Source organism: Homo sapiens, chromosome 21 (assembly GCF_000001405.40).
Source record: "Homo sapiens chromosome 21, GRCh38.p14 Primary Assembly".
Lineage (NCBI taxonomy): Eukaryota > Metazoa > Chordata > Mammalia > Primates > Hominidae > Homo > Homo sapiens.
In genome coordinates, this window is record NC_000021.9 from 36,086,748 (window position 1) to 36,111,420 (window position 24,673).

The following is a 24,673-nucleotide window of genomic DNA, read 5'->3' on the forward strand; positions in this document are numbered from 1 at the left end:
GGAGGCTGAGGCAGGAGAATCGCTTGAGCCTGGGAGGCAGAGGATGCAGTGAGCCAAGATAATGCCATTGCACTCCAGCCTGGGTGACAGAGCAAGACTCCGTCTCAAAAAAAAAAAAAAAAAAAAAAATTCATAGAGATAGAACAAGTTATTTTAAAGAGATGACAACTTAGATCACAAAGAAACAAAAAACAAAAAAAAGTTTACACTTTAACTCCATCCCCTCCCACACATTTTGACTTTTAATTGTCTCAATTTATATATTTTATTTCACCTCTTAACTAGTTGCTATTGCTATTATTATTTTTTGATAGTCTTTTGGGTTTCATATGAGAGTGATGAGTGGACCGCACACCATACTTATAGCATTAAAATATTCTGGGTTTGTCCATGTACTTAATTGTACCTGTGGGTTTTATACCTTCAATTGCTTTCTCTTTTCACATTAATGTTTTTTCTTTCAGATTGAAGAACTCCCTTTAGCATTTCTAAATGCCACGGGTCTAGCAGTGGTAAATTCTCTCATAATTCAGTAGTGCTCATTAGCTTATTTTTATATGTAGTAACTTTAAGGTTTTTGTCTTTCTTTGAGTGAGATTCTCTGCCTCAGATTTGATCCACGGCCATCCTTTCTTAAGTTACTAAGGCACACATTAGGCTTGGCCTCAGCCAGCCCCCTAGTGGTACAGCTCATGCCCCCAAGAGTCCCCTACTCTTCTCCTACATCACACGGGGACACTGGAGTTGTTCCCAGGGTGTATCCTTGGTCTGGGTCATTTTCTGTGTTGAGATGACATCATGGCCGGCAAACAAAGACAGTGTTATCTGTTGCTCTTTTTATGCAATGCCAAGTACCAGCCTACCCAAGCCTCCATCCTACTGCCAGCCAGCGTGGAAAGGCCTCATTGGCATTCAGCACCAGGCTTCCAGACACTCAGGCACCCAACAGTTGCCACCATACCTCAGCTGCCTGCCCTTTCACACAGAGGAGGGTGGGCAAGTGAGAGCTCATGTTTCCCACCAAGGAAGGGATTTATCAGGCAGTGGGAGAGGGAGAAGCTTAAGAGAAGAAGAGACTAGAAGTTTCCCTCTCCTCCAGTCCCTCATTCGACAATCTCTGCAACCTTCAGAGAATGGCTCCTCTGTTCCTGAATGCTGAATAGTTAGTGGATGACTGGACATTTCTCAGAGAGCTCGTGGCCCTCTGCTAGCTGCCCTCAGGAGGATCTGGGGCCTGCCAGAGTTAGCTATAAAGGGATGCTGGGTTTTGGAAGGAAGAAGAAACAGCTCTCCTCCATAAGGAAAGGTCCTAAAACTGCTCAGGGATGGAGAGGCAACCTGGCTGGGCCTGGCCTTCCCCCACACAGGGCACCAGGCATGTGACTGAGATTATCTTGGACCCTCCAGCCCACCCCAGCCACCAATAAATATCACCAAGAAATTCCAATGAACACCACATGAAGCAAAAGAACTGATCATCTATGTCCTGCCCGAATTCCCTGACCCACAGAAGCATAAGAATAGTTGTCATTTTAAGCCAATATATTTTGGGGTAATTTGTTACGTAGTAACAGACAGCTAGAACCCCTGACCAATATAACTCTCAATAGGAAATGGGCAAATACCTTAAACAGATAATTCACGATAGAAGAAATATTGACTACTGAGAATATGAAGAAATTATTTCCCAAATTCATTATTAATAATAAACTGAAACAAACAGACTATGTGTCAACTTGGGAAGTTTGTGTTTTTGTTTTTAATACCTGGTATTTGCAAGACTGTGGTAGAAGTGCTATTTTCTTGTACTCCTGATACTATGGTTTTAATTTTTGTTCCTTCTAAAACTCATGTTAAACCGAGGCAGGTGGATCACTTGAGGTCAGGAATTTGAGAACAGCTTGGCCAACATGGTGAAATCCCATCTCTACTAAAAATACAAAAACTAGCTGGCCATGGTGGCAGGTGCCTGTTATCCCAGCTGCTTGGGAGGCTGAAGAAGGAGAATCACTTGAACCCAGATAGCAGAGGCTGCAGTGAGTCGAGATCGTGCCACTGCACTTTAGCCTGGGTGACAGAGCAAGACTCCATCTCAGAAAACAGAAACAAAAACAAAAACAAACAAACAAACAAACAAAAACTTAACCCCCAGTGTGGCAGTACTGAGAGGTGGGGCCTTTAAGAGGTGATTGGCTCATGGCCCTGCGCCATGAGTGGATTAATCCATCCATGGACTAATGGGTTATCACAGGAGTCGGATTGGAAGCTTTATAAGAGGAAAAGGGACCTGAGCTAGCATGCTCACCCCTCTCAGCACTCTACAGAGAGTCTCCACCAGCAAGTAGGCAGATGCACCCCTTTGACCTTGTACTTCCCAGCCTCCAGAACTATAAGAAATAAATTGGTTCTTTATAAATTACCCACTATCAGATACTCTCTTATAAGCAATGGAAAATGGATTAAGATACCTGACTATGAATATGTCTGGTTTTTTTCTTTTTTTTTTGAAACAGGGTCTCACTCTGTAACTTAGGCCTAGAGTACAGTGGACACAATCACAGCTCACTGCAGCCTCAAAATCCTGGGCTCAAGGGATCCTCCTATCTCAGCACCCAGAGTAGATGGAACTACAGGCACACACCACCACAGTGGCCTATTTTTTTTTTTTTTTTTTTTTTTACTTTTTGCAGCAATAGAGGTCTTGCTATATTGTCTAGACTGGTCTGAAACTCCTGTCCTCAAGCAATCCTCCTGCCTTGGCCTTCTTTAAGCACTGGGATTACAAGTGTAAGCCACCATGCCTGGCCCAAATACAAGTCTTTATGAAGAATTTTCTCAACAGGCTTCAGCAGCCTTAGATTTTTTTTATATACATATATACACTGTGACTGTTAATTCTACTTCCAGGAGTTTATCCTCCCACAGAAATAATCAGATGTGCATAATGCTTTATAGACACAATAATCCCTGATACACAATTAACCAGAAGAGAAAACTGGACACAACTTAAGAGTCCAAAAATATAGCAGTCATTAAATTGCAGCACGTCACACAATGAAGTATTTTGCCAATATTAAAAATGTTTAAGAAACTTATAAAATTATAGGTGAATTTTATTTCCTTTATAGGTTATTTTTCCTCTGAAACTTTTTTCTGTTTGTTTTTTTGTTTGTTTTTGTTTTTGTTTTTTTGAGACAGGCTCTCACTCTTGCCCAGGCTCAAGAGCAGTGGCATGATCTCAGCTCACTGTAGCCTCGACATCCCAGGCTTAAGTGATCTTCCCACCTCAGCCTCCAAAGTAGCTGGGACCACAAGACATGCACCACCATGTCTGGCTAATTTTTGTATTTTTTTTTGTAGAGATGGGTGTTGCTGTGTTGCCCAGGCTTGTCTTCAACTCCTGGCCTCAAGGAATCTGCCCTCATTGGCCTCTCAGTGTGCTTGGTATTATAGGCATGTGCCACCATGTCCAGACTAAAACATTTTCTAATTACAAAAATTGTATGCATCATAAAGCTTTAAACTTGCTTTTCAAGACAAAAGAAGAAATTTTGAAGAAACAAACCGCTACAAAAGCAAAAATAATGGTAGGAAACGTGTAGATTAAGAGATACAGTGTATGCACCTTATTTAGATCTTAATGCAAATAAAATGTATTTTAAAAATGAGATAATTGTGGAAATTTAAATACTGGCTGGATATTTGATTAAGAGTTTATTTTATTTTATTTTATTTTTTGAGATAGAGTTTTGCTCTTGTCACCCAGGCTGGAGTGCAATAGCATGATCTTGGCTCACTGCAACCTCCGCCTCCCGGGTTCAAGCGATTCTCGTGCCTCAGCCTCCCAAGTAGCTGGGACTACAGGCACCTGCCGCCACACCCGGCTAATTTTTGTATTTTTAGTGGAGATGGGGTTTCTCTATATTGGCCAGGCTTGTCTCAAACTCCTGACCTCCGGTGTTCTGCGCCGCGGCCTCCCAAAGTGCTGGGATTACAACGTGAGCCACCGTGCCCTAAGAGTTAATTTTTTTAAAAAAACATGAAATAATGATATTTTAGTTCCACTTTTAACAAGAGTTATACCTTACAGATTAACACACACACCCCTCCCAATAAGACTGGTAGACATTTCACCATGAGTATTTGAGGAGAAAGTGGGGATGGACCTGAGAAAGAAGACAGTAAAAGTGTTTCCCAATGAGAAATAAAAAAATTCGGCCAGGCGTGGTGGTTCATGCCTGTAATCCCAGCACTTTGGGAGGCTGAGTGTGGGCGGATCATTTGAGGTCAGGAGTTCGAGACCAGCCTGGTCAACACGGTGAAACGCTGTCTCTACTAAAAATACAAAAAAATTAGCCATGCGTGGTGGCACATGCCTGTAATCCCAGCTACTCGGGAGGCTGAAACAGGAGAATCATTTAAACCCAGGAGGCGGAGGTTGCAGTGAGCCGAGATCGTGCCACTGCACTGCAGCCTGGGTGACAGAGTGAGACTCCACCTCAAAAAAAAAATAATAATAATAATTCTAAGCCTTTCAACTGACTGAATGGATCCTCTCTTTGCCAAGGGGACTCCAGAGAAACCTTGAAAGCTGAGTTCACAGCCATGATAAGATAGGAGATCAAACACACCTCATTATACCTACTCTCTCGCTAACAGTACTTAGGTTTTCTTCCATAAGGACTAAACAGAAACCAGTCTTTGCAAAAGACTACTAGCTCAACTTCCCAGGCACAGAACAAGGACAAGATGAAACTAATCATTCCTTCATCCCTCCCCAAGACTCAGCCTTTTCTATTTCCTATTTCTCCAAATCTTCACCTTATCTTACGTAAAATGTTGATTTCCTGGGCACTAACTAAAGTCTTACAAGTATGTAATCATTTGCCTCACTGCTGCCCCCAACCCCTTTTTTTTAAGGAAAATGTAATAAATACTAAATCTTTTAAGAACCTCCTTGGAAAAACCAGCCACTGATTCTATGACTCGTGTTTTTCCCCTGTGCATCCTCAAGCTGGCTCAATAAACCTTGGTGGTTTGAGACTTAGTGCCTCAGTCACTCATTTTGGTTGTAATTTTGGTAACCATGAAGGGATTACGGAGAAGAGATTAGCTCCTTTGACCTGCAGCAATTCTCCTTCCAACAAGAGATTCCCTCTGACTATGCAAATTGCAAAGGTTCAGAAGCTTGCTCTCTCTCCTGAGGTTCCCTGATCTCCTGAAATTTTTGGTTTGAGATTCAAGGTTTATTTTGCCAGGAAACTCCTCTAGAAAAGGAGTTTGCTCACTTCCAATAACGAAGGTGAGTTTGCTGCTTCCATGCCAACAAAGAGCAGTCTTCAGCTTGGGCTCCATCTCCAGGCAAGGAAGTGGTTTGGGATTTCATTTGGGGATTTGGTAGTTGAAGGTCAAGGTTTACTGACAACTGGCTATAACTTCTCCTTTATACTCAGAGGTCCCAGCAATATGTAAATTTTGCTATTGCTTTTTCTGTTTTTTTTGTTTCAGTCCATCTTCTGTTAGATTTGACCAATTCTTACCACATCTCCATGTTGATTAAAACCCCTGCAGCTGCAGAAAATCAAGTTTCAACCCTAGGAACACTGGCTGGTTAAGATAAATCAATATTTTACCCTCCCAAAAAATTTTTAAAATTATTTTACCCCCCCAAAAATTATATATATATATATATATATATATATATATATATATATATATATATATATATATATATTTTTTTTTTTTTTTTGAGACAGACTCTTCTCAAAGAGAAGAGGCTACAGTTGTCCAGGCCAGAGTCCAGTGGTGCATCTCAGCTCACTTCAGCCTTGACTTCCCAGGCTCAGGTGGTTCTCCCACATCAACCTCCCCAGTAGTTTGGACTACAGGTGCATGCCACCATGTCAGGCTAATTTTTTGTATTTGTGGTAGAAATGGGGTTTCACTATGTTGCCCAGGCTGGCCAAAATATATATCTTTGACATATTTTAAAGTAGCCCTGCCAGACTTTCTCTAGCCTGAATCTAGGAAAGGTTAGCTAAGGTCTTCATTCTGAAGGTTCCCTTGTACACATGTTAAATAAATGTGCATGCCTTTCCTACTCATCATCTGCTTCACACCAGTGATTTTTTTCAGTGAACCTTTAGGGGGCCAAGGGCCTATGACTCCTGCAGTGTGGCACAGCAAGCAGAGTGGACAAAGCCATTCTTCTCTTCTGGAACCCACAGTGAAGAGAACCCAGGAACCTGATCTGCCAGCCAAGAACTAGGAATTTCTCACCAGCCAGGCTCTCTGTGGACTCCAGCTGGGTGGATGGTAAAAATCACTGTCTCATCTCCAAGGTTCTTTTTTTGTTTTGTTTTTGTTTTTGTTTTTGTTTTAGATAGGATCTCACTTCATCACCCAGGCTGGAGTGCAGTGGCACAAACACAGCTCACTGCAGCCCCGACCTCCAGGGCTCAAGTGATCCTTCCACCTCAGCACCCCCAAGTTGCTGGGACTGCAGACATGCACCACCATGCCTAGGTAACATTTTTAGTATTTTTTGTAGAGATGGAGTTTTGACATGTTGCCAAGCCTGATCTCAAACTCCTGGGCTCAAGTGATTCTCCTGCCTCAGCCTCCCAAAGTGCTGGGATTGCAGGTGTGAACCACCATGTCCAACCTCATCTGCAAAGTTTTGATTATGGGAAAAAAGGATTTGTGTAACTAGTCTTGCACTGTGGTGACTCTGCTGTAACTCTGGTATTTTGTGTTATGAGTATTCACATCATTTGATCCCTTTTCCTCTAATATCCTTTTTTGTTGCCACTTTGCTTCTTCTTTCTGTGTCCTTCTGTCAGAATGAAACTGACCCAATTATTCCACAGAACTTTACAGTTCACCATCTCATAGATGTTTACAGTTTCTTTTGAAGAAACATAGAAATTTACCTTTCCAATCTTGAAACTTGAGAAAGTTACATTCATCTTATCTGAGTTCCTTTCTCAAGAAATCAGCCATCAGGTCTCCCAGATAGAATCAAAGAATTGAAACTCATCGGATCACCACACCTGAATAATGAAATGTCATACCTCTCTCCCTTTATGATTGACTGACCCACCACCTGCTGCCTGTTGACCAAGGTCCCTTTCCTACCCCTTCCTAATTCCTGTTTTCCTGCATGTTGTTACATTTCTGCTGTATAAACTCCTATCTTTAGTGAGTGAGGAGACAGATTTGAGACTGATCTCCCATCTCCTCTGCTGCAGCACCCAATTAAAGCCTAGCAATACTGGCTGTCTCAGTGAGCAGCTTTCTGTGCAGTGAGAAGCGGGACCTAGCCTAAACCTCTAGGGTTTCAGTAACAATAAAAGGGGGTACCATAGGGTAGAATACGAGCCTAGAACTCTTGTAAGCCCCTGTAAGCCTGCTGTGAAAACGGCACTGCAGCCTGGTCAGTCTTTTGTGGTTCTGACCGGACCAATGTCTGTTAAGACAAACTTTACTGTGGGTCCCTGAAACAAAAACCAGATGAAGTTTCCCACTCTTCCTGTTTCGTGTCCTTGAGAGCTTCACTTTGTGACTAAGGGGGGATACTCTTAGTCTCTGCCATCCAGAAAATGTGATTTTTCGGGTCCTCATCTGATTTTCTGAGGGTCCAAGACACATAATATTTTAAAAAGCTCACTTTTCACTCTGAACGTATCAGGCTCTTATGGGAGTTTTGTCTTAAAAGGTCCCATTCCTACAGGGCTTTTGTCATCTTTTGCTATCTTTTTTTTATTTTTTATGTTTTATTTTTATTTTTTTTTGAGACGGAGTTTTGCTCTCGTTGCTCAGGCTGGAGTGCAATGGCGTGACCTCGGCTCACCACAACCACCACCTCCCAGGTTCAAGTGATACCCCTCCTCAGCCTCCCGAGTAGCTGGGATTACAGGCATGTGCCACCATGCCCAGCTAATTTTGTAGTTTATTAGAGACGGGGTTTCTCCATGTTGGTCAGTCTGGTCTCAAACTCCTGACCTCAGGTGACCCGCCCACCTCAGCCTCCCAGAGTGCTGGGATTACAGGCGTGAGCCACCGTGCCTGGCCATCTTTTGGTATCTTAAGTCTATTTATAAGAGTGAATTTTGGGGGATCATGAAGATGCCTCCTCTATACCCTTTTTAGGAATATCTTTTGCTTACATGGTAAAAAACGTGGAAAATTCCCACCTAGGCTTGAAAGAAGCTTTTGGATTGTGTCACTATTGGAACTAAATAAACCACTGAAAATAAAAAAATGTTAGAGATATCTTATTCCAAGCAATGTCAGGAAGGTACTCCATATGGTCTAAAAAGGGGAGGCATGAATAATTTGCCCCTTGTTTAGCATATAATCAAGAAATAACCATAAAAATGGGTAACCAGCAGCCTTCAGGGCTGTTCTGTCTATGGAGTAGCCATTCTTGATTCCTTTCCTTTCTTAATAAACATGCTTTCACTTTATAGACTCACCCCTAATTCTTTCTTGCACGAGATCCAAGAATCCTTTCTCAGGGTCTGGATGAGGACCCCTTTCCAGTAACATTGCTGCAAAACCAAAAGACAGTTCAGGAGGTCTTATCAAATCTGCTGTCTCAACTTCTCCTCAAGAGTCTTACAGATGCTAGTAAACACATTAGGCTAATTAACAAGAAAATGGTGAAGGCATCCAGGATCATGGTGGCTCACATTTGTAATCCCAGCACTATGGGAGGCCGAGGCAGGCAGATCACTTATGGTTAGGAGTTTGAGACCTGCCTGGGCAACATAGTGAAACCCTGTGTCTACTAAAAATACAAAAAATTAGCTGGGTGTGGTGGTGCACACTTGTAATCACAGCTACTCAGGAGGCTGGGGCACAAGAATTCCTTGAGCCCAGGAGATGAAGGTTGCAGCAAGCCAAGATCACACCACTGCACTCCAGCTTGAGCAACAGAGTGAGACTCTGTCTCCAAAAAAAAAAAAAAAAAATGGTGAGGGCAAAAGGGGGAGTCAAAGGACTCATCCCAAAAAGGTGGGGATTTTTAAGCAGTTATTTACAAAGTAAGGTAAAACTTAAAAATCATTGATGGGTTGAAACTAAGAGAAAAAAGAAAGGGCAAATCATGGAACCCATCACAGCAGGGTGGAAATCTTTAGATGGTTATTAAGAAATGAAACGAAGGCTAGGCACGGTGGCTCACCGCTATAATCCCAACACATTTGGAGGCCGAGGCAGGTGGATCAACTCAGGTCAGGAGTGTGAGACCAGCCTTGACAAACATGGAGAAACCCCATCTCTACTAAAAATGCAAAATTAGCCAGGTGTGGTGGTGCATGCCTGTAATCCTAGCTACTCGGGAGGCTGAGGCAGAAGACTTGCTTGAACCCAGGAGGTAGAGGCTGCAGTGAGCTGAGATTGCGCCACTGCACTCCAGCCTGGGCAACAAGAGCAAAACTGCATCTCATAAAAAAAAAAAAAATTAGCTGGGTGTGGTGGTGGGCACTTGTAATCCCAGCTACTCGGGAGGCTGAGGCAGAGAATTACTTGAACCTGGGAGGTGGAGGTTGCAGTGAGCCAAGATCACATGGCACTCCAGCCTAGGTGACAAAGTGAGATTCCACCTCAAAATTAAAAAAAAAAAAAAAAAGAAAGAAAGAAAGAAATGAAATGAATAAAATGGAAATTGGCACTAAAATAAAGGTCTTAATACAACACTATTGAAAGTTGGGTGTTTGTATGAGGGTTTTAAGAAAAAAAAAAGAAAGTTGGGAAACCAAAGAGAGCCCCAGCTGGTCCTCTAACATTTGTCCTCCAAGGGCCCCAAATCAGTGCCATATTTACCCTAGATTGGAGAGATTTATGAAAAAATATGAGGGCAGAGATTACAATGAGAGAGCTGAAGAATTGCCTGCGACAATGTTCATCAAGATAAGATTGATGAAAGGAGCCAGGGTTCCTTGGTTCAGCACCCCTGCTGGGGACTCAAAGCCTTTTTCACCAGGAAGGGTAAAATGGTCTGGGATTGGACAAGAAAAGGTGCCTGGGACCAGAACATAAAGATGCAAGGGTTGATAGAATTAAGAAAGTTGGAATGTTTCAACAGGTTTTATGTCTGTGAAAGGAAAATAAAATCTTGGGACCCCAAACTCACTAAGCCAAAGGGAAATGTCAAGCTTGGGAACTGAGTCACACAAAACTGCCTATTTTTGTTCCTACAAAGATAAAAGCCCACATCCCTCCCCAGGGGTGCTCTCTCACAATTTGCCCACAAGGAAATTCCTTGCAGGCCCTAAGATCCTTACCCTAAAGCAGTTCTGTTGAATTTCTCCCTGACAATGTAAGTTAATAGCTTATCTTAGCAAGTAGGGGACAAAGACAGGACCAGAAGTCATCCCTCCACCTACCTGAGACAAATGCATATTAATGCAGATTCACTGAGCCTGAGATGAATGCATAATTGACTATTTATCTACCCACAGTAACATGTGGATTCAAAGAATGTTGATTAAAGCTGCAAAAGAATGTAACCACTTGCCTCTTTTCACACCCCTCCTTCACTTTTTTTCTTCTCTTGTCTTTCCCTACTGCCTGCCTGCTCTTTCCCTTCATCTTTGTTTTCTTTTTTTGAAATGGAGTCTCGTTCTATCACCCAGGCTGGAGTGCAATGGTGCAATCTTGGCTCACTGCAACCTCTGCCTCCCGGGCTCAAGCGATTCTTGTGCCTCAGCCTTCCAAGTAGCTGGGATTACAGGCATGCACCACCATGCCCAACTAATTTTTGTATTTTTAGTAGACACAGGGTTTTGCAATGTTAGTCGGGCTGGTCCTCAAGTCCTGACCTCAAGTGATCGCCCACCTCCGCCTCCCAAAGTGCTGGGACAACAGGCATGAGCTGCCACTCCCGGCCTCCCCTTTAAATCATGAAGGTCTCAAACCTTCTTTGGAAAAATAATGGATCACAGATGCTCCTGTGGTTTTGTGTTCCTTTTTCCTGGGCATGTCCTCAACCTTGGCAAAATAAACCTCTAAATTGATTGAGACCTGTCTCAGATACTTTTTGGTTTACAATGTAAAGTAGTTGTATCTCCTTTACCTAAATGACTTTTAAAATAGTTATTGTATCAGACTGGGGAAATGTTTCCCCTACCTAGCATCATAAAGCAGAAGGCATGTAAATCTGCCCTTCCGGCAATGTTAATTAGACATGCTAAATGAGACCCAGTAAGACTGCCTGAGCCCACAGGGTGTGTGGATGCTGATAGGGACAAATTCTCCACTTCATAGCCCTTTGTGGAGCAGTTACGGTCTGTATGAGTCAGTTCTCATGCTGCTATAAATAAATAACCAAGACTGAGTGATTTATAGTGAAAGGAAGTTTAATGGACTCACAGTTCTGCATGGCTGGGGAGGCCTCAGGAAAGTTACAATCATGGCTGAAGGTGAAGCAGAAGCAGGCACCCTCTTCACAAGGTAGTAACGTGTACTCCCCTGGAGTGTATTTTAAAGCACTGGGACTCCTTCGACCCTGAAATTTTGAAGAAAAGTGGCTTATTTTCTTTTGCACAAGGGCTTGGCCTTTTTACTAGACCTTTGCAGGTGTTGCAAAATCAACCAAGCTCTTTTAGCAATCATATCAGGCAGGCCCAAAGAGAATAATTCCCCAAAATTAGTAAACCAAGTTCCAGGGGAACCATCTGAGGATTCCCTTATTTGGGGCCCCTTCAACACCCCTTCTCACTGCAGAACCTTAGACAAGTAAAATGAGACTTAGGCCAATTTTCTGATGACCCTGATAGATATATAGAAGCTTTCCAAAATTTAACTCAGGTATTTGACCTCTCATGGAGGAATGTTGTGCCTCTCCTAAGCCAAACTCTAACTGCAGCTAAAACAGGCAGCTCTGAATGCAGAAGAAAATTTTGGAGATGAGCAATATGTCTCCTATAGTAGGGCCAAAAGGGAAAAGAGAAAATAGGGAAGGCAAAGAAATAGGGGAAACACCATTCCCAATAGGAAAAGAGGCAAAACCTCTTGACAACCCTAATTGGAACTCCTTTCTGTGGTGTTTTTCCTTCTTTCATGGTTTAAAACGGCTTCTATCTCTTTTATAATGTTCTTCCAACCTGGGAAAAGTTAATTTTCCAAACCTTAAAATGCTTGGCTTAGAGTTGAGCTAGGGGGAAGGGAACCCAGAAGCCTGATATGCCGGCAAAAGGGTAAAAATTTCTTACGGATCGGGCTTTCAGCTTTTCTCTCCCTGTGCAAACAAGTAAAAGGGTTAATAAGAACCATTGTGTATATTCTCTGTAAATGTATAATTAATGAAAAAGGATTTGTGAGGTTGCTCTTAAGCTGTAGACAATCTGGTGTGCTTTGCATGTCTTTCTGTATGGTTCTGTCAAAGAAAGGGTATCTCAGGTTAGGATGCAGGCCCAGGAACCCATAAGCCTGCTGTTCAAGCCAACCCAACAGAACAGTCAGTAACAAACTTGCCTGCAGGCCTCCATCTTGTTTCATGTCCTTGGCAACATGACCTGTAACCAAGTGGCAATACTTTGTTTTAGTCTCCATCATTTTACAATGGTGTCTGTCTTCTTGTGCTGTTGAGGGAAGTCAGGGACCCCAAACGGAGGGACCGGCTGAAGCCATGGCAGAAGAACGTGGATTGTGACGATTTTATGGACATGTATTAGTTCCCCAAATTAATACTTTTGTAATTTCTTATGCCTGTCTTTACTGCAATCTCTAAACATAAATTGTAAAGATTTCATGGACACTTAGCACTTCCCCAGTCAATACCCTTGTGATTTCCTATGCCTGTCTTTACTTTAATCTTTTAATCCTGTCAGCCAAGAAGGATGTATATCGTCTCAGGACCCTGTAATAATTGCGTTAAGTACACAAATTGTACAGCATGTGTGTTTGAGCAATATGAAATGTGGGCACCCTGAAAAAAGAACAGGATAACAGCAATTGTTCAGGGAACAAGAGAGATAACCTTAAACTCTGACCGCTGGTGAGCCAGGCAGAACAGAGCCATATTTCTCTTCCTTCAAAAGCAAATGGGAGAAATATCGCTGAATTCTTTTTCTCAGCATGGGATATCCCTGAGAAAGAGAATGCGCACCTAGGGGTAGGTCTCTGAACTGGCCCCCCCGGGGCGTACTGTCTCTTATGGTCGAGGTTGCAGAGGTGAAATAAACTCCAGTCTCCCATAGCGCTCCCAGACTTATTAGGAAGAGGAAATTCCCGCCTAAAAAACTTTGGTCAGACCGGTTGATCTCAAAACCCTGTCTCCTGATAAGATGTTATCAATGACAATGGTGCCGGAAACTTCATTAGCAATTTTAATTTCGTTTCCATCCTGTGGTCCTGTGATCTCGCCCTGCCTCCAATTGCCTTGTGATATTCTATTACCCTGTTAAGTACTTGATGTCTGTCACCCACACCTATTCGCACACTCCCTCCCCTTTTGAAAATCCCTAATAAAAACTTGCTGGTTTCTGTGGCTTGTGGGGCATCACGGATCCTACCAACGTGTGATGTCTCCCCCGGACGCCCAGCTTTAAAATTTCTCTCTTTTGTACTCTGTCCCTTTATTTCTCAAGCCATCCGATGCTTAGGAACATAGAAAAGAACCTACATGACTATCGGGGCAGGTCCCCCGATATTGTGCTAACTCAATTCCTGGGTGAGGGCCACAAAATCAGATAAGCCAGTTTGTCAATCTGGGTGGTGCCCCCTGATCCATCAAGGGCAGGATTTACAAAATATCTTAAGCACTAATCTTGAGTGCAGTTTTAGGAGGGTCAAAATCTTGTAGCCTCCAGATGCATGACTCCTAAACCATGGTTTCTAATCTTATAGCTAGTTTCTTGGTCTGGTCCCCAGGCAAGAGGGAAGTATATCTTAAGAAGGAGCTGTTCTTTGGGAGGCCGAGGTGGGCGGATCACGAGGTCAGGAGATCGAGACCATCCTGGCTAACACGATGAAACCCCATCTCTACTAAAAATACAAAAAGTAGCTGGTTGTTGTGGCCAGCACCTGTAGTCCCAGCTACTCAGGAGGCTGAGGCAGGAGAATGGCGTTGAACCCGGGAGGCAGAGCTTGCTGTGAGCCGAGATCACGCCACTGCACTCCAGCCTGGGTGACAGAGTGAGACTCCAAAGAAAAGAAAAGGAGCTGTTATCATCTTTGTTTTAGACTATAGATTATAAACCAGGCTGCTCCCAAAGTTGGTTCGGACTACCCCCAGGGATGGGCAAGAACAGCTTGGGGCTGGAAAACAAATGCAGCTGTTTGGGTCAGATCTCTTTCGCTGTCTCAGTCACAATTTTGCAGTAACAGTTTCAAAAGCTGCCTATCACCCCTTTGAAAATACCTTGTACATTCAAGGTTAAGTCATAACCTAATTAAGCCATAAACCTAATTAAGACTTGTCAGTTTCACCTGTGAGGTTTCAAAAGCTGAACATCTTAACTGCTTCCTGTGGCTAAAGTCGAGTCACAAGGGATTTAAAAGGATTTTTCTTAATGAGTGCTCAGCTTAATTAAAAGTGGATATTCAAGTTATAAATATATTTAAAAGGCCTTTATGTTTTTTGCTTCTTGGATTTTGTTTTTCTGGTAAAAGGCTTTTTTCTTCTCAGTCGACTGAATTATTTTTCTCCATTTTTTGTCTTACCACTCTTACTGCTTGCTGCCTGGCACTGTTCCTCCAAGGGCTCCACCCTGACGCCAGTAATCCAATTAAGAAACTGGCAAATGAAAAATCTTACAAGTGCTGAATCTTCTGTCTGTTCGTGTTGCTCTATACATGTTGTGTGTAAGGTCTATTAAAAGAGCTCTAATTGACTGGCTTAAAGAAAAACAAGTGCTTAAATCAAATATTTTTTAGTTCACATAACTTTAAGAAATAAAAATAGTCTTAAGGATTATTGGTAAAATGCAAGTGTTGTCAAAATACAAATAGGTGGTCTAAATCATTCAGCTTAGATACTAGGTTTGCTAAATGTTCCAAGGCTGTGTATACTGCCCGCTTTTCAGATAGGTAAGGCTTGGGACACATGGACCTAGATGCTGAAACGTCAGACTTTATCTGCACTTCTGTCTGAGTCCTAGGATCCACATCTGGTACATAATTAAAATAGATTACTAACCAGGTTTTTCACCAAAAATAAAAGTTGCTAAAAGTTCAACAGTGAACATTAACTAAACTTAAAAGTGTATTATATGATCTTTTCATAAATTGAGCATTGAAATAAAAGCACAGCAAAGAGGTCTTACGACACTAATCTGTCCTTTAGTAAAAGGGTTATGAAAGGTTTGTAAAGATTTCACCTCATGGTCAAATTGGTTAAGGTTAGATGGAATGATCTATAAGGTTTAATTTAAACAAATTGGGGTTAATATTAATAAACTAATGCAAGGGTAAAATTTGGGTTTGAACAGGATTTTCATGTCATAGTAAAGGCCAACGAACAGTTTTTGCCTTTTAAGTCACCATTTTGGCAAAAGAAATAATGTATGGCAATCTGGAATTCCATTTCATAACATCAAGTGTTTTAAACCTTGAACATTTAACAGGCATCCTAAAATCAGACTTCAAGTTTCAAAATTGTCGTTCCTGATGCCTGGCTTTTTGATGGTTCAGAGGGCCCCTGAAACATTCAGAAAAGAGATAAACAGGATTATCTGACATATTTAATCACATGAGATTGCCAAAATGATGTCCAATCTTAAGTTATACTTTGCTAAATAATACTAATATATTCTGGCCGGGCACAGTGGCTCAAGCCTATAATCCTAGTGCTTTGGGAGGCTGAGGCAGGTGGATCACCTGAGGTCAGGAGTTCAAGACCAGCCTGGCCAACATGGTGAAACTCCATCTCAACTAAAAATACAAAAAAATTAGCCAGGTGTGGTGGCAGGTGCCTGTAATCCCAGCTACTTTGGGAGGCTGAGGCAGGAAAATCACTTGAACCCAGAAGGCAGAGTTTGCAATGAGCCAAGATCATGCCACTGCACTCCAGCCTGAGCAACAAGAGCAAAACTCCATTTCATAAAAATAATTTTAAAAAATACTATTATATGTTCCAAAATTACATATGATTTCTAAAATTCTGATGTCTAAGTATATGCTATCAATCATAATTAAGGGTAAAGTTATTGTAAACCACTGAAATGAATAAATTTGTTAATCATGTTGTTAACTATAAATATCCTGGAAATCTTGTCATTCACAGACAATTGTTATCTTGCTTTGTTCCTTCTCAAAAGATGGTTTATAATCAAGCTATATTAAAGAATTTAACAGGCATTCTCAAATACAGGTTTTTAGTAGCTTTGAAGATTGTAACATTGGAATAGAGAATGTATGGGACTCATAATGAGCTTACATGTTCACAAATATCAAGCAAAACAAGATTTAACTAGACGGACAGCACTCAGAAGGTTAAAGCAACTTTTTGACTCTTGCTTGGAATATTGCTGATCCTTGTTTTATTTTTCAGAGTGAAGGAAACTTACTTTGAACTATTTATGGCCTTTAATAATTGAGTAAGGTATACTACTGTAAACAAAATTTGGAGTGTGTTTGTTTTTCTCTGCCTGGTTCCTCTAGAATTTGGAAACTATCTGTGAGTACTCTTAACTTATGGCAATATTTGCATCAGTGCAATAAGAATCCATTTTTCTTTGTCAACAGGACACAATTGAAAAAACTGGTTATTTTACCAAGGCTTTGACTGAAAGGGTGTGTTTCCCTTTAAGGAATGAAGCTTGACATGCAGACCCAATAAAAGCCCCTTAAGGAGAACTGGCCTCATACCTTGTCTACACAGTTCCTGCACAAGGTTCCTAAATTGTGGTCAGTAAAGAATGTCATTTTCTAACAGGTCCAGCAGCTCCAAGTTTATCTTAGACCCTCAAGAGGAGAGGATTACCCAACTCACAGGTATTTGAGGATACAAACCCATGGCTGGGCTCAGCTTTAAAGATCTTATCTGAAATTCCTTGTGGAACAGAGTTTCATCAAAGCCAATCCAAAGGCCTACATAGAAACAACCATTCTTGCTGCACTTTATGCAAATAATCAGGCCAAGTATAAGACTAAAGTTTATTCTACGAACAACCCACACAGTCCTATCATAATTTGTTTTTACCAAAAATGAGGACTGGAGAGAGAAATTGTTCTCCAAAGCTTATCATACATTTGTCATTAAATCCTAGTCTCATTAATTGTTTTTAAGCTTTTCGCCTACATTTTAGACTAACCCTGCTTATTCCTGTGAATCAAGTGGTGATCTCCTGCAGCTTGGAAGAATCAAAGGGGGATGGTTAACATAAAAACCTGGATCAATATGCTAGTTCTGGACAATTCTCCTGCAAATTCTGCCAGGTAATGAAAGTGAGTAGGGTGCCCATAACCCAGAGGTTTCTTTGTTTGGGAAAATAAAACCAAGGAACTTCATAGACCTCCCCAAAAGGAAATTCTATATCTTAGGTTAACACCTCTAGTAAAGTAGAGGAAAATTGTTAGATATGAGTTCTAAATTTCTCTTCAAAGAATCAATATGTCAGTATGTTCAATTCTTTGCCTTCTACTTATAAACTTAACTTCCTCATAAAGCAACCTTTTTCCATTACCTGCTCCACCCGGACTCATTCTGATTACCTGCTTCTCCCTGACTCATTCTCCACCCTGACTCATTCCGATTTCTCACTCTGCCATAACCATTTTTCCTGCCAAACCGCTCACCCCGTCACTCTCTTTAAATTAGCCAATTGGAATTAGTTTAGTTTGTGCGATCTAACCCTAGCCAATAGGGAAATGACACAGCATCAGGGGCCACGTGCATCAGGGATAAGGACCCCTTCCCCTCCTTTGTCCAAGTGTGCGCTCACCATCGCTCCATCTGTCAGGGCGCACCCTTTTATAGAAGAACATGGCCTTGCAGAGAATTAAAAAGAAAATTTTATATTTGAGTGCTATTTCTTTTGCGGCACCGAAACTTTATAACAATTTCAGGGCTCACCCTTGATTACATTTCCCCCAGGGGCGGTCTCCGGTTCTCTCTCCTGAGGAGGCGCACCCCGCCCCCTTGTGGTGGCCTCAGGGGTGAGAAATCAGGACCACCCAGTGCGAGGAATAACCGGAGCTCTCTGCAACGCTGAAAGAAACTGGCCAGCAACCTAGCTTAAAGGATCCTCACATCTGCGGCGATGACTCTGTGCACAGACCAAGGAAGGAGAAGCCGCCGGAGCCAGTAAAGTACTCCCTTGGTGGTCAAATTCCGGAGGGCTAAATGTGTGTGTGCATGAATGATCACAAATAACCCTACCTGCGGTGTTGTTCATGTGGATGGTGACAAGACCTACTGCTGGACAGAGTGAGTGGGACCTCTCCGCAGTTCCGTAGCTACCTCATATGGCTTAGGGCGGATCCTGCCGTGGGATTTATACTGGCACACCGACACTAAGAGGGGCCTAATTCTCCCTTGGGGGAGCAGCCAGAGAGGGCAACACAAGTGGGAAGTGTGCAAGGGACCTTGAGAGGGGGAAAGGGAGGAAACAGGTCAACCTCCCAGAGCAGCAAGGTAAGACATCCCTGATTTAAGGGATTGAGCCTTCCAGGGCAGGCAAAGCGAGACACCCCTGGTTTGAGGGGTTGAGTCTTCTGCAAGTTTCATGAACCTCACACAAACCTCCAGTAGCAAGAAAAATATTCAGGACTCCCCTTGCCTTTCTTCTCAGGGGAAGAAAGAGTAACTCCACTCCTGCCGGTCCCTCCCCTAGGGAAAGGGGAAGGAGAGGGGAGAACAGCGGCATAAGCGGCTGGCAGAGGCAGAGAAAGAGAGAGTCAAAGAGAGAGACAGAGAGAGAGAGAGAGAAAGAGAGGCAGAGAGAGAGAGAAAGAGAGGCAGAGAGAGAGAGAAAGAGGCAGAGAGAGAGAGAGAGAAAGAGACAGAGAGACAAAAAGGGAGTCAAAGAGAGAGAAATTGAGAGACAGAGTCAGAGAGAGAGAGAGAAGTAGTAAAGAGAAAACAGTGTAACCTATTCCTTTAAAAGCCAGGGTAAATTTAAAACCTGTAATTAATGATTGAAGGTCTTCTCCATGACCCTATAACACTCCAATACCACCTTGTTGCCAGTGTTAACAAGGGCATAGCCCAAAAGCACTGAGGCCACTGACAACCCGTAGCCTTCCTATCAAAAATCCTTAACCCAGTAACCCACGGATGGCCCATATGCATTCAATCTGTAGTGGCAACTGCTTTGCTAACAGAAGAAAGTAGAAAAATAACTTTTAAAGGAAACCTCATTGTGAGCACACCTCACCAGTTCAGAACTACCTAAGTCAAAAAAGCATAAAGGTAGCTTACTAACTCAAAAATCTTAAAGTTTTGAGATTTTAGTAAGTTAGTAAGTTTTGTGATTTTTGGGGCTATTCTATTAGAAAAAGATGATTTAACACTAGCCACTGAAAATTCCCTTAACCCAGCAGGTTTCCTAACAGGGGATCTAAATCTTAATTACCATAGAAAGTTCAGATCACACCTAGGAGGAACTCCCTTCAGGACAGGATGATAGATGGTTCCTCCCAGGTGACTGAGGGAAAAAGACACGATGGATATTCAGTAAGTGATAAGGAAACTCTTGTAGAAGCAGAGTTAGGAAAATTGCCCAGTAGTTGGTCTGCTCAAACGTGGGAGCTGTTTGCACTCAGCCAAGCCTTAAAGTACTTACAGAATCAGGAAGGAGCCATCTATACAAATTCTAAGTTAACAGGGACTGAACGAGGTCTTATTAATAGCAAAGAATAATTGAAATCCCAAACATACAAGGTTTTCAACAAAAGCAAAGTTTGCTAAAAGTTAACAGTGTAACATGTATTATCCTAACTTCTAATCTTGTGGCCTTAGACACAGACATGAAGTTCACTTGGGAAAAGAATGGTTATCATATTTGAGAAAAAAAAGGGGGGGGGGTAGAATTTATGTAAAAAGGAATGTTATGGTAAATTCTTAAAGTAAATTAACTGGTTGTTTAAAGAAAGGGATGTTGGCAACAAGTTAGAAAGTTGAGGCATGTTGAAGAATTGTCTGTGAAAGTCGTGAAAAAATGTTATAAAAGGGAATTTATGCAAGAAATGTATAATTTAAAAGTAATTAGGCCTCCTGAATGTAAAACTATTGAAGAAAGAGTTTGTGTGCAAGGTATGTAAGGAAAGTAGAATATACTTTTGGTAAAAGGATTACAAGGAGGCATAAGAATGTGGATTTTTACCTACATTAAAAGGTTAAAAAAATACATTTTGTTTTAAAGGTTTAAGCAAGTTTTGAAATGTTAATTGTAAAGGAAATTCTGTGTGTAATCATACTGGCTGAAGTTAAAGGGGTATCATCCAGTTTTTCTGTGAACTGGACATTAAAATAAAAGCACAACAGGTTTTTCTTAAAGCACTAACCTGCTCTTTAACAAAAATTATAAAAAGGTTAAAAAGAGTCTGTAAAAATCTTACATTATGATCAGACATTAAAAATTGGATAAATATGTCTACAAGGTTTTACTAAAATTAAGTTTAACATTAATAACACACTAATATAAAGATGAAATTTAGCTTATCTGGTATAAAAATCATACAGGAAGCATTGTCAAATACAAAATGGTGTTTGGCCTTCTTTGGTCTAAAAACTAATAAAAATAGGTGCCAAAGAAAATTTCTCAACAAGAAAGCATGAAGGACTATAAAGTCCACTGTTGATATCCCCACGTTTAAAACAAAAGATCAATTTCTTAGAAATTATATACTCGGTTTATCCTCCACCTTCTCTTCCCTTAAAACAGAGGTCTTTTAGCACAGGTGCTGCCTTTGGACTTTCCAGTGCCTCAGCATCAGCCTGGGGATCACGTTCTCATCAAAGAGGGGAAAGAAGGGAAACTCGAGCCAGCCCGGGAAGGACCCTACCTTGTGCTGCTAACCACTGAGACTGCTGTTCGTAAGGTTGGAAAGAGATGGACACATCACACATGAGTCAAGCAAGCACCATTATCCTCAGAATCATGGGCCATTGTTCCTGGATCAAGCCCTACCAAATTAAAGCTAAGGAAAGCTTAGTCTATCTATCTTTTCCTTTCCCTTCCTTACCCAGTGCTTATATCCATTACTATTCCTACCACTAGCAACTCTAACCCCACTTTAGAACGCTTCTGTGGTTTAGGAGCAGAGGTCACTGGAAAGGATCCTATGGGCTTCTTTAAGGTGGGCTTTGTTCTCCCTCCTCCACCTCCTATGGCTGCCCCTTTCCCAAACCTACAAAATCAAACTATGACTCACCTCATGCCAAATGACAAAAGCAAGGTCCCGGTAGTAGAAATAGGAGACCTAAGGCAAACCATAGCCATTAAAACAGGGTATAAAAATGTAAATGCCTGGTTAAAATTGATTAAATATTCTGTCCACACGTTAAACAAAGGCAATTTTTATGCTTGTGCACATGACAGGCCAGAAGCCCAGATTGTCCCCTTTCCACTAGGGTGGCCCTCTAGTTGACTGGGCATGGCCTGCATGGCAGATCTTTCCCAGGATTATTCAGCCTGGGGTAACAAGTCGTGCCAAGCTCTCTCTCTGCTACATCCCGAAGTTCAACACCCTGCGGGTCAGCCCCCAAGGGCCATCCAGCTTCCATCTCCCAACACTAAGTTCACTTCGTGTCTCTCAGGACCGGGAGGAAACTTAGCGTTCCTTGGAGTCCTGAAGGGATGCAGTGAGATTAAGAAATTTCAAGAGCTTACCAATTAGCCCTTACTCATCCCTGAGCAGATGTGTAGTGGTATTATGATGGACCTTTACTGGACACTCTGCCGAGTAACTGAAGTGGCACTTGCTTTAGTCCAGTTGGCTATCCCTTTCACGCTGGCATTTCATCAACCAGAGAAAGGAAAAATAAGATATCATAAAGCAAAAGAAGCCCCTTATGGGTCTTTTGACTCTCACATCTATTTAGACATAATTACAGTCCCACAGGGAATACCAGATCAATTTAAAGCCTGAAATCAAATAGCTGCAGGATTTGAGTCAATATTTTGGTGGGTGACAATAAAATGTAAATTGGATAAACTACATCTATTACAACCAACAGCCATCCATTAACTACACTAGAGATGCTGTTAAAGGAATAGCTGAGCAATTAGGGGCTACTAGCCAGATGGCTTGGGAAAAATAGGATAGCCTTAGACATGATATTAGCAGAAAAAGGAAGAATTTGCATCATAATTAAAAATCAATGTTGTAACTTCATCCCAAACAACACCGCCCCTAATGGAAGTATAACAAAGGCATTGCAAGGTCTGACTGCTCTATCCTGAGTTAGCCAATAACTCGGGGGTAAATGACCCCTTTACAGGATGGCTGGAAAAGTGGTTCAGTAAATGGAAAAGAATAGTAGCCCCAATTCTTACTTCCATCGCAGCCATCATAGGTGTGCTTATTCTTGTCGGGTGTTGTGTCACACTAAGGAAGGAGACCGCTACAACTCCTGCTGCCCTCCTCCCACCACCTTGCCTAGTTCACAAGACAGGAGGAAAGAGAGAAAGCAAAAAGCTGGAAAGAAGCAAAAGTAAGATAAATAGCCAGACAACCTTGGCACCACCACCTGGCCCTAGGAGTTAAAAAGGTAATAATAATAACATCAACCCCAGACCTAAACTACTTGTGTTATCTGTAAATTCCAGACATTGTATGAAAAAGCATTGCAAAACTTTCTGTTCTGTTAGCTGATGCATGTAGCCTCCAGTCACGTTCCCCACGCTTGCTGGATTTATCACGACCTTTTCATGTGGACCCCTTTAGAGTTGTAAGCCTTTAAAAAGGCCAAGAATTCAGTTTGCAGGGAGCTCAGCTCTTAAGATGCAAGTCTGCCGATGCTCTCAGCCAAGTAAACCTCTTCCTTCTTTAATCCAGTGTCTGAGGAGTTTTGTCTGCGTTGGTGCAGAGGTTTATAAAAACGGCACTTACTAAAACCTCCCTTAACTATCCTCCACCTTATCCAGAGAAGCTTCTTCTTTTGGAAAATCAAGCAGAACAACTAAGCCAAGACATGTTAAAGAAGTTTGAAGGGAAAGAGCTGTAAGGAAATGCAAGAGGAGAGATTGTTAGATATGAGTTCTAAATTTCTCTTCAAAGAATCAATATGTCAGTATGTTCCATTCTTTGCCTTTTACTTGTAAACTTCCTCGTAACGCAAACATTTTCGATTACCTGCTCCATCCTGACTCATTCCGATTACCTGCTCTGCCCTGAATTCTGATTTCCTGCTCTGCCATAACAATTTTTCCCGCCAAATCACTCACCCTGTCACTCTCTTTAAATTAACCAATTGGCATTAGTTTAGCCTGTGCGGTCTAACCCTAACCAATAGGGGAACAACACAGCAGCAGAGGCCACGTGCATCAGGGATAAGAACCCCTTCTCCCTTGTCCAAGTGTGCGCTCGCCATTGCTCCATCTATAAGGGCGCACCCTTCTATAGAAGTACATTGCCTTGCTGAGAATTAAAAAGAAAATTTTATATTCGAGTGCTATGTCTTTTGCGGCACCGAAACTTTATTTATAACAAAATCTACAAGGGCTTAACGATAAAGTCAAAATTACTGACAAGCTCAGGGAAAATGCAGACTTCAGCCCCAGGTGGCTACAATCCCTCTTTAATGAATTCCAGTCTTCTTTATGGAATTGGTTAACCCCTTTAATAAGCACCCTCTTGCTGTTATGTCTTGTATTAATAATTGGACCCTGTATACTCAATACTATAACTTGAATTGTTTCCTCTCACCTAGAAGCGATCAAACTCCAAATGGTCCCGCAAACTGAGCCACTCATGGACAGGCCTTTCTTCTGAGGACCTTTAGGTTGACCCCACAAGGAGCCCTCGCTGCTGTTCCCCATTCAACGCCCCTTTTCAGCAGGAAGCAGCCAGAAAGAGTCATCAGCCAAAACCTCCTAACAGCAGTTAGGGTGACATCTCCACAGGGGGGAATGTTATAGGAGTTATTAAGAAATTATTTTAGGCAGATAGAGAGGAAAAGGGGTCCTTGGGAAGTTTTTGTTTCTTTCTTTTAAAGCAGCTGCATAAATGTTTCTTGTCTAGCAGGAAAGCACAGGCTCTTAGAGCCAGGCCGGCAACCTTTGATATGCAATTGCAGGCCATTAGAAACTGGGTCCACCCAAACATGGCGATTCCTGCCCTCTTCTTCTTAGTGCCTCAATCACTCATTTTGGTCGTTACCAGAAAGGAACTCATATTTAGCTGGAATCTATGCCAGGTAATGTTACAGAGGGTAGTAGTCAGACATGAACAGGGCAGGAGAAGGCCCCCACACCCCACCAGGAATGTCAGGTGATGGTCCAGCAGTTGTCCCACTGCCTCTCTAAAATAATAACTGGTCTGAGCCAGCACCAGGGAAAGACAGTTTCCCAACAGATTAAAAAAACACCTGAAACTGGTGATTGGCAGCTTCCCGATAAGATCTCAGGAATTGGGTGAGTGGGCTCAATCATGTGCATTAAGAGGCAAAATAGCAGAGTTTAACTGGCATATGACCTTCCAGGTACATTCCACCAGAAAAGGGAAGAACACCTACCTCAGGTGAGCATGCATACAACTCTAGCAAACACACTGCGCATGC

General features: G+C 42.1%; 2 long non-coding RNA genes across 2 annotated transcripts in view, besides 3 other annotated features; one reads left to right on the plus strand and one right to left on the minus strand.

The window, feature by feature from the left end:
- CBR1-AS1 (CBR1 antisense RNA 1) overlaps positions 1-24,673 on the minus strand; it is a 56,999-nt gene that overhangs the window by 17,106 nt on the left and 15,220 nt on the right. Inside the window, exon 2 of the long non-coding RNA NR_040084.1 lies at positions 11,377-11,512. This is a non-coding gene — a long non-coding RNA (CBR1 antisense RNA 1). The remainder of the gene's footprint in view (positions 1-11,376; positions 11,513-24,673) is intronic.
- Positions 12,882-13,743: an enhancer, noted in NCBI's record as "OCT4-NANOG-H3K27ac hESC enhancer chr21:37471927-37472788 (GRCh37/hg19 assembly coordinates)". NCBI's record gives its function as "activates a minimal SCP1, AML or CMV promoter by ChIP-STARR-seq in primed H9 embryonic stem cells {active_cell/tissue: H9 hESC(primed)}" and the evidence as "EXISTENCE:reporter gene assay evidence [ECO:0000049][PMID:30033119]".
- Positions 17,990-18,491: an enhancer, noted in NCBI's record as "H3K27ac hESC enhancer chr21:37477035-37477536 (GRCh37/hg19 assembly coordinates)". NCBI's record gives its function as "activates a minimal SCP1, AML or CMV promoter by ChIP-STARR-seq in primed H9 embryonic stem cells {active_cell/tissue: H9 hESC(primed)}" and the evidence as "EXISTENCE:reporter gene assay evidence [ECO:0000049][PMID:30033119]".
- LOC105369306 (uncharacterized) lies at positions 18,134-22,943 on the plus strand. The gene is made up of 2 exons (NR_147887.1): positions 18,134-18,376; positions 20,851-22,943. It is a non-coding gene; the product is annotated as an uncharacterized LOC105369306 (long non-coding RNA).
- Positions 19,510-19,710: a silencer, noted in NCBI's record as "peak4410 fragment used in MPRA reporter construct". NCBI's record gives its function as "represses an SCP1 promoter by STARR-seq MPRAs in K562 erythroleukemia cells {active_cell/tissue: K562}" and the evidence as "EXISTENCE:reporter gene assay evidence [ECO:0000049][PMID:32103011]".